At 44.4% G+C, this 16,409-nt stretch overlaps 1 pseudogene across 2 annotated transcripts in view; it reads right to left on the reverse strand.

Annotated features, from left to right (window-relative positions):
• The window catches only part of PDE4DIPP2 (PDE4DIP pseudogene 2), a 195,809-nt pseudogene that overhangs the window by 36,467 nt on the left and 142,933 nt on the right, over nucleotides 1–16,409 (reverse strand). Inside the window, exons 24-32 of one of the 2 annotated variants that reach the window (NR_144516.1) lie at nucleotides 14,140–14,575; nucleotides 13,124–13,316; nucleotides 12,436–12,555; nucleotides 10,730–11,258; nucleotides 8,731–8,966; nucleotides 7,672–7,723; nucleotides 6,376–6,599; nucleotides 5,572–5,724; nucleotides 3,391–3,576 (exon numbers count right to left, since the gene is read on the reverse strand). The product of NR_144516.1 is annotated as a PDE4DIP pseudogene 2, transcript variant 1 (transcript). Of the gene's footprint in view, nucleotides 1–3,390; nucleotides 3,577–5,571; nucleotides 5,725–6,375; nucleotides 6,600–7,671; nucleotides 7,724–8,730; nucleotides 8,967–10,729; nucleotides 11,259–12,435; nucleotides 12,556–13,123; nucleotides 13,728–14,139; nucleotides 14,576–16,409 lie in introns of both variants that reach the window. The other variant, NR_144517.1, reaches the window with a different exon arrangement.

Consider the following 16,409-nt stretch of genomic DNA (forward strand, 5'->3'; position numbering starts at 1 on the left):
GTATACTAATTAGACTAAGGCTTGTAACCTAGAGGTTGTAACTCTCACCCTTTGTATTTCCTAGCAGGAGACACAAGAGGTAGAGAATAAAGTATCTTAAAGTCATCAGTATATACAATGGAAAAGTCCAGTGGCCCCACTCCTGGATCCTACTATAATCCTTCATGACAGACTCCAAGGAAAGTTCTAAAAGTAGGATTCACTCCCACAGTTAGAAGTTGTGAGTGCAGTGGAATGCAGGATTGAGCTTACCTGTGAACACGAACATCTGTTTGTCTACATGTACTTGCCTTCCCCTGAAACTAACTAGTCAATATGTCCATTCCATGTTGGAGTTTTTCAGAAGAGAAAGGGGACATGAAATCAAGCTGGATATGGTGGCCCTAGTTCCTCCAGACTGAAGAACTCTTTGCTGAGGCTGGGGAAGGGCCTATGTAAGGCAAGTATTTATTTGGATCCCATCCAACATGACTCAAGGAGCTGCAAAATGTCATCACTCCTGTCTAAAGAATCATTGAATACTATTCCACAGAGGCAGGTAGGACCTTTCATTTAATAGGCTGATACTTTCATAGATCCTTTGAAATCATAGGCCTTTCCCTTGAGCCCCGTCATCTCCACTTCTCTGTAAAAAGAAGCCTAGCATGGGGGAGATGAGGAAAGAGGTGGGCAGAGACACAGTTTAGGAGAAAATTCAGAAGCCTGCTTTCTTTCAGGGATTATGAACATGGGCAGCAGAATAGACAGGTAGCTCCTCCTAAGCAACAGGAGTGAGGTCGTTGTTTCTTCCATCCAAGCCAAACTCCTTGGAGGGGTTAGTGTAATTGCCACTTGCCAGTTTTTAGCCCTACTTGTAGCTGGTTCTCAAATGTGGGTACATATTGGAATCACCTGAGAAAGTATGGAAACATATACTGATTCCTGGATTCCAGAGATTTTGCCTTAGTCTATATGGGATACATCTTGAACAATGGATGTTTTAAATTCATTTTAGGTAATTCTAATAGGCAGAAGTTTGGGAAGTCTTGTCATGAGTCTCTCTTCTAATTTGCAAAATACTAGATGTTCATTAGGATCACTTAGTTGAGGAAGAAGGTTAAAAATTTAAGCACCTACATTTTAGAAGGAATGCAACAAATACATGATTTCCTACCTCTTTCAAACTGCCTTCAACCCCATCCGAACACAAGGCAAAGGGAGAAATCAGTGGTTGCAGATAGTCAGCTTACTTTTTAATCAAGGCCATGTGAGGTTTTAAGTCTATCAGTAACTATGATCAGTATTCTCATGTTCCAGTCCCTTAGCCACACAATACACAGTACATGCTCTAAACCATGCAAAGATACCATACAGACTCTTGCACAAGATTTTAACCCAGGGACCTGAGAGGCCACCATGCACCACTGTCCACACGGAAACTTGGCTCAAAGCAAACAATGAGCATGTATAAGCAATGGTCCCTTGGAGAGGACCTTGACTTCAGGTGGAGAAAGAAAGGGCTACAATCTTCCTCATCTAGGCTGGGACCATTTGAACTCCGGTCAATGGCCTCAGACTTGATGTAATTCCAATTTAACCCAAAACAACAGACCCTTTTTCATGGACAGTGCTCTCCTTCCATCCTTCCGTTTGGGCAAAGACAAATGGACAAATGTGGAAAGATAAAGGAAAAGGAGGCAAGATAAAGAAATGGAAGCTAGAAAATACTCTTGCCATTTGTCATGGGACACATTTGTTGCCCATTCATTGTTGGTGCCAGAACTGCTAAAATAACAAGTTTTAGGTCAGAAACAGCAGCACTTCCTACTGGTCTCTAAAGAGAGGGAAAAAATTGTTGCAACGAGTCCCCAGAGTTTGATCAGCTGAGCTCAGCTCCATACTCTAAGCAGGATGGTGACAAAGCCATCCTAAGTAGAAAAGATATAACAGAAACATAAAACCTGGAGCAGAAGACCAGATTCAACCCCATCTCTCCCACTTACCAGTGACCTTGAACAAGTAACTTCACTTCCCTGAGCTTTACAGTTCCCTGCATTAGACAAAGTACCCATTTCCTGGGTTGACAAAATAAATAGGCTAAGCTGGGTGCAGTGGCTCATACCTGTAATCCCTGCACTTTCAGAAACCAAGGTGGGCCGATCACTTGAGCTCAGGAGCTCTAGACCAGTCTTGGCAACATGGCGAAATCCTGTCTCTACAAAAAATACAAAAATTAGCCAGGTGTGGTGACACACACCTGTAATCCCAGCTACTTGGGGGGCTGAGGTGGGATAGTTGCTTGAGCCCAGGAGGTAGAGGCTGCAGTGAGCCGAGATCGTGCCACTGCACTTCAGTCTGCGTGACAAAGTAAGACCCTGTCTCAAAAAAAAAAAAAAAAAAAAAAAAGAGGAAGAAGGAAAGAAATATGCTGGTCCACATGACATTTGGGGCTGTAGGGAGGGGGATGCAAATTCTTGGCTGTTGTCTTGCATCACTAGAAACTTCTGGCATGGTGACCCTATCAGTCTCTGGCTCACCTAAGCTTCTTTACAGGCACAGAAAGTGCCTGACAAATGAGTTTAAGTTCATTCAAACTGCTTTTTAACTGTTGTGCCTAAGGTGCTATGAAAGAGCAAATTCATGTGAAGGTTGTCATTTTTTTCTAAGCTATCAGTGACCACCAGCACACTAAATTTATGATGAGCATCCAGCCTACAAATACATCAAAGCACTTTCTAAAAGGTGACTGTCCACAGTCTACGTAACTACATGAGATCAATTATCTTTGGGAGTCAGAGGATGGGATTCACAGTCAGATGCCATAGCTGGTGCTGTGGTTCTAAGCTGCCTACGTGTCACCTGTCCCAGGGCAGGGACCAACCCTGTGCAGTAGGAAAAGGGGCTCATCATTTCCTCTTCTGAATCCCTCTATCATTACCCTTTTTGCTCCAACCTAATGATATCAGGAACTGAACTTGATTAACAGCATTTCACAGCAGAAAAATATAATAGTCACACAAAGGAGCCCACTGAATGTGGCCATCTTTTTCTTGGCCACTTCATCCTGCATAGGCAAAGCATAACATCTCTCTCCCACCCCCTACCAATGAGCAGTCCACCAGTCTGTCAGGGATTCAGCATACTTGGTGGTATCCAACACTGTCTACAGTGTGAGAGCACCAGGTCTAGAGCCTCGTGAACATATCTACCTGTTAACTGATGAGACATACACACCACAGAAATAACAGTAAATACATTTCCAAAAAATAAGCAAACAGAGCTTTCCCTCCCTCTTACATTTGTAACGTGTACCCGTGTTGTTTTTTTAAACTCTGCCATCCAGCCCGAGCCATGCAGAGCAACACAGTGTGGGGCTGCCAATCGCAAGCACACAAATGCAGAAGTGCTCACTTTCTCCCAACTGCTTCTGCAGCATCTGTAGCTCCTGCTGAGACTCAGCCAAGGAGACCTCTGGTGTCTCACAGCAGCCAAGGAGGGGAGGGCCAGTGGGGCTGAAAGGCAGGAAGCTGGATGGAGCTGAGGGCAATGGTGCCTGAGGAAGGCTAGCCAGCTTGGGTATGGAGTGAAAATGAAAGCCTAGGAACAGAAAGTTAAGGAGAAAAGAGACACATCATCAAGAGAAAATGAGAGAAAAGAATGGGTAAAAGATTGAGAAGGTAAAAGCATTCCCTGACCAGACATCACCCTGCGGAGTGGCTATCATCTAGTGTGGTACAGGATAAGACAGCCAAGGGTGACCATTGCTACCAGAGGCTGGCCTGGCTGACCTTCCCTCTTCTCCCCTGCCAGGGCTATCCTGCATATATCCTCTGTGTTCATCTTGAAAGCAATTGGCTAAAGAAGGTAAGGTGGCATTATTGAGCCCCACCCCAGCAATCCTGGACATGGACAAGTCAGAGAGCCTGAATGCTTTCAAGGGCCCCTGGGGCTCTGCTCCCAGCATGTATCAGTCCTTGGCCCTGGGACAAGACTCTTTCTCTACCTAGAGCTCCTCTTTGACAGCATCAGGTCCCATCCTGAGTAGGAGAGATGTGAACAAAGGCTGTGGGGAAATTTTCATTACTAGTGCATGCAGTTCAGGACTCTGATGGAAACAAACTTCAGAATTCCAAATCAACGTGTTCATTGACCAAATTAAAAATAGATGCCTTGGTAGAGTGGCTTAGACAAAATGGCTTGCAAATCCTTCTGGGCATTTAAATCACATAGCAAAAACTTCTAATATATGTAGATTCTTTAGGCCTTCTTGATTCTGTCTAGGCCTTAATGTAGACTTACAGAATTATAAATTCTTGGAACATGAAATTTACATTTAAAAAAAGTCTTCCCTGGTGATCTTTAGGCAGCCCATCTACAGACAGGTTTTTAGAAACCCTGGCAAGGTTCAATGTTTAAAATTGTTTCCTCTTCCCTAAAAGCAATTAAAGGGCAGGTAGCCAATGGAGAGGGAGCAGAAACCAAGGCTGACCCATAGAGAATGTCTAATGTAGAAGACAATGATTATATCCTAAAACACATCCCAATGGTGCTGGCACCATTTCAGATCAATACTGCAAATATACTCAAATTGCCAGGTAACACAGCCCAGGCATTCTTTGAGGAGGCATTCTGATTTTAAAATCCTCTGTTCTTTACCTACTGCTCTGTTTGAACCCACAACATTTAAGCAGATGTCTATAAGTCTGGAAGCACAGCTTTTCCTCATGATTCTGGTCCAGCTGCTGCCTACTCTGGCCTAGAAACTTTGAAACCAGGCTCAGGAAGCATTGGAACACTTCCTCTTCCTTAAGATTTTAGTTGAATTGCTTTCAGGGAAATGAGGGCAGCAGAAGAAAGCACTGTGCTTTCTGGGAGCACCTCTACTCAAGTCAAACCTCACAACAAACCACACTGAAGGCAGCCAGCCAGCTATGGTGGGAGGTAGGAGGCGAAGACAAGGTTTGCCTTTTCTTGCCATCCCTGGTACAGGGCTGTGAATGAGCAGTGTACCCTCCGGCAACTAAGCTGAACTTGTAAATGAAATGCACCCCTTTAACTGCCCCCAAGATATGCACTATGTACATATGGAGGACTGCCAATCCATTCATACATCCATTAATGGTAACGTACTATGAACAGAACCTTGTCTGAGGCTGTTCTCACCATCCTTGGCTACAAGTAGCACTACCTCTTGCAGAGGATCTCCATGCAGATTTAATGGGTAACACATACAGTGGATCAATAGATGTGAATTTCTTTTCATCCTATGGCTGTTGTAATCCTGGGAGAAACATTTTGCCTCTTTGCTCCCAGGATAAAATGAGAGAAAACCAATAAAAATGTTTCTTTTTAAATGATTAGCCAACTACTGGTCAGAACTGGTATGCAGATCAAAACCTGATGTGGATTACTTATTTTCTAAAATATTTTCTTAAATCAGACACAACTGGAAAATGAGGATGGTTTCTCGATTCTGTCTAGGTTTTGATGCATTTAGGCCCCTAACAGTTCAAACCTCTGTCGTTGAAGAAAAGTCAAACAGGCAGCAGAGAAAGGGGAGATGAAGCTTCTGCCCCATTGGCTGTTGCATACCTGAATGGGCTTGGTTGGCCTCCTTGGGGGTATTCTGGGGAGTTGGCAAGCTGATGGGGTTGCTGTTGGATTCGGCCTTAGCCCCCTGAGATGCACTGGTTGATGATGGTTTAGAAGACAACACAGCAGAATGACTCGAATGATGGATGGAATCTATAAAACCCATGAATGAAAGAAAACGTATGATGTTCTATAGAGAACTGGAATCCTGCCCTTATGTTTACCCAGGGGTACCAGGGCTAGAGTCTTGCTTTCAGGGAAAGAACCAAGCACAAGCACTGTTAGCAGTGTTCATTTTCTTGCTTGCAGACAGCTCCTATAGTGAGGCAAACCACCTTAGGGATGACAGCGGTGCTCTGAGCTCTGAAACATGAAAATGGCAACTCCAAAAATATCAGGCAAGACTAGCAGCATCTGTGGACACCCACATATACTTAGGGACCACTGCTCAGGAATAAGTAGCAAGATCATTGTAGGAGAGATGAAGGAGGTTTTCCATCTTAAAGAAGATCTATCTGACAGAGTCACCAAGGAAGAAGAGTCTGCCGTGATCTTCTCACTCTCCCCACAGTGGCTCACTTTGTGCCCAACAGCATGTACGTGCCCATGGAGACCACGGTGACAGAGGTAACTTGTAGAGTCAGGAGCAGAGCAAAGATCCTGATCCACTGGTGCCTGTGCATGGCACTTGGCCCCACAGCTATGTTCAGCCTGATACACACCATGGTGGAGCTATAAGCCCTGTTTCCTGAGTTCTCCACTCACCCTAGACAAAGATGGTACCACCCAGAAAGTGGAGGCTACCTGAGTGACTGGGAGAAGCTTTCTTCTCTTCATAGTGTGTGTACTCGCTGACTATGTCCATGTCAGAGCAGGCTTCCAGCTCATCAGACAGGAAAGAGGTGCTGCTGGGAGAGCGGTGGGAGTCAGACAAGGCACGGCTGCTGGAGGGTGTGAGGGACCGAGCATCCAGCTTGGCCTGCAGGACTTCAATCACTTTCTCCTTCTCCTGCAGCTCCCTGCTGAGCCTGGTGGGGAGAAGGGGGACAACGGGTAAAACCAAGGTCACCGAAACCAACCTGTCCTGACTATGGCTCATAGGAAAAGCCAAGTAAGCCAAGGGGACCATGCCTGCAGATAATTATGGAAATAACCCACCTCTGCTTAGGGATGGAGTGTAGGTGGGGTGTAGATGGAGAGAGAATAGCTACCTAGTGCTCTGGCCACATAATATGCTGAGGACAAGCAAAGACATAGCTAGCCCTCCTTTTAAGGCACTGCTGCTTAATGTATGATCCCTGGAACAGTTGCAGCCTGCGAACTGTTTGTTACCATCTCCAACAAGACAAGTATAAAAATTGAAAGCAAGCATTGAGAAACACAGAACAAACCACTGTCCCAACATCCAAGAGCATGATAAGTGGAATCATGTAATTAACTGAATTCAGACCATATATGTTTCTATGATAGATTAGAAATAAAAACAAAACAAAACAAAAAAAACCACTGTGTCCTTCACTACAGATACTTTCAGAAGCATTTATGTAGTCTGAGACACAAGCATGACACAAAGAACCCCAACTAGTGGCTACAACGGACTCTGAGCCCATATTTCATTGATCATTATATGAAGCAACTCACTGAGAACTGGGTCCTGAGGCACTGCAGCCTCCTGGTGATCTACACCATCTAGGCCTCTTTCACCAGGTCCTGTTATATGATTCCTTTTTTCCCCCAGGGCAATTGAGTGACTATTAAATTAGCTGTCAACCCAACTTTGGAAAAAGCTCATCCTGCTTATTAAACACACAGCAGGAAAGCAGGACCCTTAGTGGGGCAGAAGACTCTTGAAACCTAGTTAGTTCACTTTTAGCTCAGACTGTTTCTAGGTTACTAAGCCTGGAGAATTAATGTGCCAATATAATTCAACCAAAAGGGAAGAAAGAATTTAGTTAAAAACAACAGTGAGGTGTTCAATGAATGCCTGAATTCAATACATTCAGCACTTTGCTTTATTCCCCTTGATTTGTGGAGTTGCCGCCACCCTTGACCCTTTGGGCCTCGGTCCCAATCTCTTTCCCAGATTCTCCTCTGAATTACCTGAGGGCCAGTGGCTCAAGTCCAGCTTGATCTTTCTCACTTTTATGATCCTCTGTAAACCAAATTTAGAAAGAGACGATAAGAAATTAGGCTGGTCCCACTTCCCGCATTACAAATGCAGGAGCCTATCTGGAGACAGAGTAGTGAGCATTTCATGTGTGCATCCAGAACAGTTATTCTGGGATACCTCAGCTTGTGTCTCTAGAGAAGTGACCCCACTGTCCCTGACCTGCCGGTCACCATGATGACTTCCTCTGCCCTAAATCAGGGTAAAACATTTATAATGTCTTTTGTTCCATTAATCATGAGGCCCTTGCCCAGCTGCCCTGCGGGACACTCCAGCCTCCATGTCCTGCTGCAGACTAGCTCCCCAATGCATATGCCCCACCACAGCTTTCATGCAGAACCTGCACTGGTCTCTGAGGAGATGACAAGAAGCCCTGCCCCACCTCTGCATCTGCCACCAGGTGGTGGGCTGGGTGGCTCCCAAGTCTGATCCTACTTTACTCCCTTGGATAGTCGCTGGAAATTCTGAGTAGAAGACCCCAATAATAACCAATGTAGCCCTTGAACTACTGCAGCCAGTGCCTAAACCATGTATAAAAGAGCATGGCGCTTTATCCATATGTGGAGTACCTGCATGCACATTACCATGCCATAAATGGAGACACCACAAGGATAAGGCATTTAGCGAGTTGGTGGCAGCATCCAGGCCAGAGCTTGAGTCTTGTAGTTCTTGGTTCAGGGCTCTTCCTCCTATAACAAAGCCCTTCCATCTCATGTCCCCTACTCCCTCTTAGCATCAGAGAGATGCTGCCCCTGCCCCACAGGTCACATTCCATTAGTGGTGAAGTTTCTATAGTTGTAACCATGGCATCTCCAGCCCTGTGTTTTCCTCTCCATGCTCCCCACTGAGCAGTCTTGATCCTGTATTAGCCCCAGGAAATGAAATAGAAACAGGACCTTAGGATAAAAAGTTGCAGTGGAGATGTGGTGGCCACCAGGGGCTGGAACTGTGGGGGTGACTGAGAGTATTCCAAAGCCCTGTGGCCAACTTACTGGTGCTGAGTTTGCTGGTGAGCCTCTCTGTCAGCTGGCTTCCCTGGGCGAGTTGCTCCCGGAAGCTCTGTCCCAGGTAGTAGTCAATGTCATTGCTCCTTAGGAGATCCTCAAAAGATTTTACTGTATCTTTTGCATGCTGGGTGATAAGATAACAAATACCTCTCCCTTCTCGTATTTTTTGCCGTAGGTAAGACAGTTCCCGGGCCTGATCCTGAATCAGGGAATCATATTTCCTAATGCAGGACAGAAGAGGAAAGAGTAAGTATGGAAAGAGTGGAAGCTAACTTATGGAGTTATGGGGGCTTCTGTAGAGATTTCTATGAGAACGTCTCTAAGGAACTCCCCCAAGCTAAATTCTGGCACATAAGCCATAGGAGGTATTTAAGAGTAAATTCTACCCTGATAAAGTATTGCATTAAAAAACTTAGTACGGGCCGGGCGTGGTAGCTCACGCCTGTAATCCCAGCACTTTGGGAGGCCAAGGCAGGCAGATCACAAGGTCAGGAGTTTGAGACCAGCCTCGCCAATATGGTGAAACCCTGCCTCTACTAAAAATACAAAAAAAATGAGCTGAGCATAGTGGCACATGCCTGTAATCCCAGCTACTCGGGAGGCTGAGGCAGGAGAATTGCTTGAACCTAGGAGGTGGAGGTTGTAGTTAGCCAAGACGGCACCACTGCACTCCAGCCTGGATGACAGAGTGACTCCGTATCAAAAAAAAATTTAGTATGTCACTGTTCTTCAACTGTTATACATGTGTTAATTATATGTCCCTAGATAAATCATAAGGTCTGTGAGAATAAACATAGTTCTGCATTTTACATCCCTTACAGCACCAGTATCACATAGATTCACAGCAGTTACTCAATGAATAATTAGCATCATTTCATCCTAAGTCTGGATAGAACCTTTCATGCCTTCTGTTTTAACCACCACCTGATGCCTGAATTTCTTCTATGTTATGATACTGTGGCTGACTATATTTTGCAATGATGGCCATCACATAAACACTCATACCATCAACTGATGGGACCCAAAACAAGAGACCCTAAGTGAGAACCACCCAGCTGAGACCAGTCAAACCATAGAACCATGAAGCATAATAAAGTGTTGTTTGAAGTCACTAAGTTTTAGAGTGGTTATTACTTAGCAATAGATAACCAGGACACACCAAGATGAATGTCTGTGTTTTCAACACTAAGTATCAATAACACTTATAACTATGGCAAATAGCATTGAGAGCTTAACATATGCTAGGCACTATTCTAAGCACTTGTATTAATTCTTTTTTTTTTTTTTCCGAGACAGACTCTTGCTCTGTCACCCAGGCTGGAGTGCAGTGGTGCCATCTTGGCTCACTGCAACCTCCACCTGCCAGGTTCAAGCGATTCTCCTGCCTCAGCCTCCCGAATAGCTGGGATTACAGGTGTGCACCACCATGCCCAGCTAATCTTTGTATTTTTAGTAGAGATGGGGTTTCACCATGTTGGGTAGGCTGGTCTCGAACACCTGACCTCAGGTGTTCTACCTGCCTTGGCCTCCCAAAGTGCTGGGATTACAGGCATGAGCCACCACGCCTGGTCAGCAGTTGTATTAATTCATTTAAACCTAATATCCACCCTTTGAGATGGGTTCTCTTATCATCCTCATTTAATAGGTAAGGACAAAGGCTCAGAAAGGTTAAGAAGGTTGCATGGGTAGTAAGCACCAGAGGTAGGTAGTCTGATTCCAGTATTACTACTATACTATACCATCTTTACTAATATATCCCTAAGAGGAAATCCCTGAGACCCGGTATCTCCCAGATACTGGAACATCATCCTATGCCCTCCTGGTTGCCTACCTGTCTTTTCTGCAGACCTGTATCTACCATTTAAATCAGTGTCCCTTTGAATACCCAGACATGTTCTTTCTTCCAACTGCCTGAGCTACCCTACGCCAAGCATGAACTTACACATTTTCAATCAAGAAAGTACCCAAACAGTGCCATCCTTACCCAGGCCACGAGGCTGATCTCAGCTCCTCAGCCAGCTTCTCTTCTAGTCCATTTTCTGGGAGCTGGGCCTCCAGCTGGGATACTCTCTGGATGAGACTCTCCAGGTCCTTTTTGGCCTGAAGCCCTGGAGAGTAGAAAGCCCCAGTGCCATCAGACAGCCACCCCTCATCCTCATCAGGGACACTATGAGGTGAAGACCCCTCCAAGGTGCCAACAGCTCTCAGCTTCCGGGGTCTTTCCAGACTAGACGAATAATCACTTGTAACTGAGAGGGACCGGACCCGGCTCTTGAGGTTTTGAATGATCTTGTTGGCATTCTGCAGCTGGGCCTTCAGATCTTCGATGTCCTTTCGTAGGACCAAGATGTTTTCTGACTTTCCATATACCCGGAACTCTTCCTGCTTCCCTAGCTGGTTCTCCAAGGGCTTCCTCTCAGAGGAACTAGCCAGTGTTGAGCCCCGGCGTCCCTGCTCAGAGCACAGCCCCTCCATCAGGACCATTTCCTTGAGGCTGTTGTGCTCCTCACACTCTGAAAAAAGACAAAGATGTCTTCCTAAATAAAAGTTGGATGTGCTGTTGTGGCCACTGCCTTTGAGAGGAGGCAGGTTTGGTCATGAGGACAATAATTACTAGGGAAAAAGTTGAAGTAGTACTTTATTCAACCCTGACACTGTACTAGGCATTCAAATACAATATTTCTTATCTTCCTTATACCTACAAGTTAGGTTTCATCACTTTCTATTTTACTGACTGGGAAACCAAAACTTAAAGAGAGGTGGTAAACTAGCTTGTTCTAGATCACTCAAACTAGCACATGGCAGAGCCAGAATTCAAATCCTCCAATGTCCTGTGTTCATTCCACACACACTGGTGTTTCTTAAGACATTAACATGGCCTTATCTATTTAGGATGGCCACAAGAATGTAGGACAAGCTATTACTGCATGCTGAAAGTTTAATGCTCTTTAAATTTTACTATAATTTAAAAGTTTATTGGGTTACAACTGTATGAAAAATAGGCATAGGAAAATAAGGCTTCAAATAAATATATCAGCATGTTAACATCAGTGTATTAGGGCAGTGGTAGTCAGAATGAGAACTAATCCATGGCATTTTACCAGATGCCAGGCACTGTTCTAAAGCATTTTATAAGAATTTACTCATTTAATTGACTTAGTACCTGATGGGGTAGGTAGTTCCTTTATTACTATTTTAACACATGAAGAAACTGGGACATAGGAAAGTTTTCAAACTGGGATTTGAACCAACCAGTCTGGCCCCAGGATCTTGTCTCTTAACTGCCACACTACACTGCCTCAAGAATGAGAGAGATTGTGTTTTTTTTCTCTTCTGGTTTTCAATGTGGTGGGTGGCCCTATAGTTGTAGTCTTTTTATAATGCAAAACAAAATTATTTTTAATTTATGGCTTGCATGTTTCTAAAACCTTATCTGGTCTCTAAGTAGGCCTTAGTATTTCTATAATAATCAGTTGGATAGAATTTTATATTATTATTGTTATTAGCAGTATGCCAAAAACTAATTGTAGAAATTCAAACTTATACTCAGCCTCATTTTGGGTAAGATTTCTCCTATTAACCTCCTGTCCTCCTCTTCCCCAATACTTGTCAGGTGTGGAATTGGCCAACAGCATCCAAATGTGACAGCTGACTCCAGGGAGGGGTGAGCCCCACACCCTGTGCTCTTACCAGGACTGGTGGTTTCCTCCCGTTCAGCCTCATTCTCGCTTCGGCCACAAGTCTCATAGCCCAGGTCCTGGAGGTCCACCTGGATCTGCTCGCTGTCCTGCTTCACCAAGGATTCACCTGCTTGGGAAGAGAAGCAGGTGTTACAGAATGTCTGAATTTCCCACATATGCCCTCAGCCTCAATGGCACATACCCTAACCTTTTGAGGCACGGAAGGCAGATCCACAGTGGGAGAGAAGCTTCTCTGAACTGGTGGGAGAAGAGATCACCAGCTCCAGGAAGCAGAATTTCTTTCCAAAGGAGGAGCCTGCATTTGCCATTATCTCCCCTTCAGATAACCCAGGCTTTAGTTGGGACCAGATATCTGTAAGTCAGGGATTGTACACTATCATCTCTAGCAGCCCCATTGAAGCTGGCAAGTGCTTTATCCGCAGGGGTTCAATAAATGTTGAATGGAGCTGAACTAATTTAGAGTCCCAAGACCCTAGACCTGTACTGTCCAATAAGGTAGTTAGCAGCCACATATGGCCACTTTATACTACATCAACTAAAATTAAATAAAACCAAATGTCCAAGTTGCACTAGCCACACTTCGTGTGCTCAATAACCACGTTATGTCGGTATAGAACATACAGAACTTATAAGACACATAGGCTAGTTTTCTTTACTAGTAAGTCATAGTTACTTACTAAGCATAACTCTGTATTTCTCCAGCTCGTTAGCCTGAGCAAAGACAGTGGCTTCTGATAGCAGCAGCTTCTCCTGGAGATCTTGATAGCGTTGTTTGCATTGTGACAGCTGGGAGCGCAGGTGCTGGGTGGACCCTGGTAGGCTAAACGCTGACTGAGGCCCAGGGTCACGAGGCTGGGACTGGTTATCCAACTGTGAAAGGGGCCAATACAGGGATCAGGACAGTCTGAGGTCACCCCCATGCAGTGACGACCACCGCCCCTTCTGAACCCTGTGGACTTTACTCAAGTCTGTCACAGCACTTCTCATGCCATTTGGCAGTGACTTGCTTTCCAGATGGAGCTCCTGGAGCGCTGGGATAATGTTTTCTTCATATCTGTATCCACAGCACACAGCACAGCACCAATCAGGTCTACAGAGGAGCTCTCAGGAAATGTTTTCTCAGTGGTCAAAAAGAGACCACTCATCTCCCCTCACATTCTGTCCCATTGATTCTCTCAGAATCCCTGTATTCTCCATTTCACTGAATCTTCAGCATGGCTCCTTCCCTAAAGAGGATCCCAGTAACCCATCTGAAGACCAGGAACAGACACCTGTGATGAGCTGTGACAAAAAAATGGCAGTGATAAGGGATGTCATTACATACCACTTGTCTGGGCTGCCTCATAACCTGATGCATCCCTATGTTACAGCAGTTACCACATCCTGTTAAAATTACCTGTTTGTGTGCCATCTTTCCCGACAATATTAAGTATCTCAGGGGCAGCCATTGGTTTTATTGCCCCATGCCAATGCCTAGTGTGTTATCTGAAAAATTAAGTACTCAAGAAATATTTATGTTATAAAAGCCTTTCTAAAGGCTGAATGTAGGCAGAATATTACTATTATTGTTTGTGGTACAAAGAGACCCTTCTCTTGGTACCTCCTGATTCATATGGGAGAATGTTTTAAGGTAAACACTGTCATCTCAAGCCCTTCTCCAATTGTTTTTCACTCAATCTAAGCCCACACTTACTTGGTGGGCATCCACTGTGAAGGTAGCCCCAAGGTCAAGGCTCTGGGGTCTGGGGAAAGGCCTCACAGTCACATTCCCCTCCTCTTGGTGTTGGTGCTTCCCAGGGGAACCAACCAGTTCTGTGTTTATTCTTTCGATGGTGCTGGTCAGATGCACAAGGAGCTCTGGAGTAAGTTTACTATTCCCTTCCTTGCTACTCAGCACAAGTTGTTCTTTGAGGAGGTTGATGATATTGTGGGCATTCTTCAGTTTTCCCTGGAGCTTTCTGAACTCAGCCTGAAGGCTACTCTCACTCAGACCCTCTTTGGTTACCACAGTCTCAACCATCACCTCGCCCTTCTCCTTGTCTTCCTCGATCTCCCATCCATCAGACATTGTTTCTCCCATCTGCTCTTTCAGCTCCGCATTCTCAAGGCAAAGGCTCAGCATGGTGTTCCTGCAGGAAACACACTTAATTGAGGGCTAGGTCTGGTCCTCACAACAGTTCCTAATACTACCTCTTACCAACATCTCAGCCCGCAATTAACTCAGACTTACCCCAGAGCATGAAGCAACCTGAGACCTACCACAGCCCCCTAATTTTATATACAAGAAAGCCAAGGCTCAGGAAAAGTAAGAGACTTGCCCAAACTTCCACAGCTTCTTGGTGGCAGCACCATCACTAGAAACCTTGGACTCAAGACATGCAGGCTAGTTTTCTTTACTTGTGCCCCATAGCCTCATATGTTCTAATTTTTAGTAGCCTCTGGAATAAACCAGAGTACTTACACTGTTAAAAAATAAGACCTTTTCTGTAACAAATTTATTGTTATAAATTTTACAGTTCTATTATTTATCATCAGTCAGTTTCAAACCATTGGGACTTAGGAACACAGAATAAATAAATAACGCTAATCAGAACTATTACTATAATCAAAATGTACTTAGATAATTGTTTGCTTTATGTCTGGCTCACGTGATGGAGATAACCTTCTTGAGAGCAGGACTGTGTCTGTCCTATTCATCCCATATCCCCAGTGCCTACACAAGTGCCTGCCACATAAATCATTCATATTTGTTGAAGAAATAAAATTGACCAAAACAGCTAATTTGCACCAAGACATTCCAGATAAATTCTTTCCACAACAACAAACTCATACTAGGGTTGAGTGGAAGCAAACATGGCTGTAACAAGTCTATTCACTTAACTTTTTTGAGCCTCAGTTTCCTTTTATATAAAATAAGGATGATAACACTTACCTAGTAGAGTTAGCAGATGCTTAAATGAAATTGCATATACGGTATGGCTAGCTCAGGGTCTAACAGGGAAGTCATTCAATCCCTGCTGTACTAGCTGCAGACCTGAGAAATACCAACACCAGAATCCCATAAGGTGCTTGTTTAAAAAGCTGTAGAGCTAAGGCCTATGAATCCACATTTTACTTAAGTTCCACAGGTGATTTTTTAATTTTTATTTATTTATTTATTTTTTTTTTTTTTTTTGAGACAGAGTCTCACTCTGTCACCCAGGCTGGAGTGCAGTGGTGAGATCTTGGCTCACTGCAACCTCCACCCCTGGGTTCAAGCAATTCTGCTGCCTCAGCCTCCCGAGTAGCTGGGACTACAGGCACGTGCCACCACGCCCAGCTAACTTTTGTATTTTTAGCAGTGAAGGGGTTTCACCATGTTGGGCAGGCTGGTCTCGAACTCCTGACCTCAGGTGATCCGCCTGCCTTGGCCTCCCAAAGTGTTGAGATTACAGGCATGAGCCACCACGCCCAGTCCACAGGTGATTCTTAAGCATGCTAAACTGAGAACCCCTGAGCTAGAGGATGCACAGGAAATGGGTAATTCACAAATTGAAGGATCAGCAGTGGGCTATGCACCTAGATTGAATTTCTCAGAATCCAGGAGTCTTGGAACCTACAGCAGAGCTTGTCTGGTGTGTTTCTGGGAGGAAAATAGGACATAGGATACAGACAATCTATGAGATAGTTTCTCAATAAAGAAAAAGGGGATAGGTATTTTACCAAAACTGGGATGTGGAAAGGGGATAAAGAGGGCGCATGTGTATATGGAAAAGAATATTTAATATTATGTTCTAACTTCATATTAAAAAAAACTGATATTTTTAAATACAAACAAATAAAAGAAAAACTCAACAAAACCTTCTTGAAAGGAAGAACAATGCATTAGATTCTACCTTCTACAGTATAAGTGATTCTGTAGGTTGGGTGGAGGGTTGAACAAATCAGAGTCTCAGGTTAGTAACTCTGAGGACAAAGGAAAAT

Source organism: Homo sapiens, chromosome 1 (genome assembly GCF_000001405.40).
Source record: "Homo sapiens chromosome 1, GRCh38.p14 Primary Assembly".
In the NCBI taxonomy this organism is placed as follows: Eukaryota; Metazoa; Chordata; class Mammalia; order Primates; family Hominidae; genus Homo; species Homo sapiens.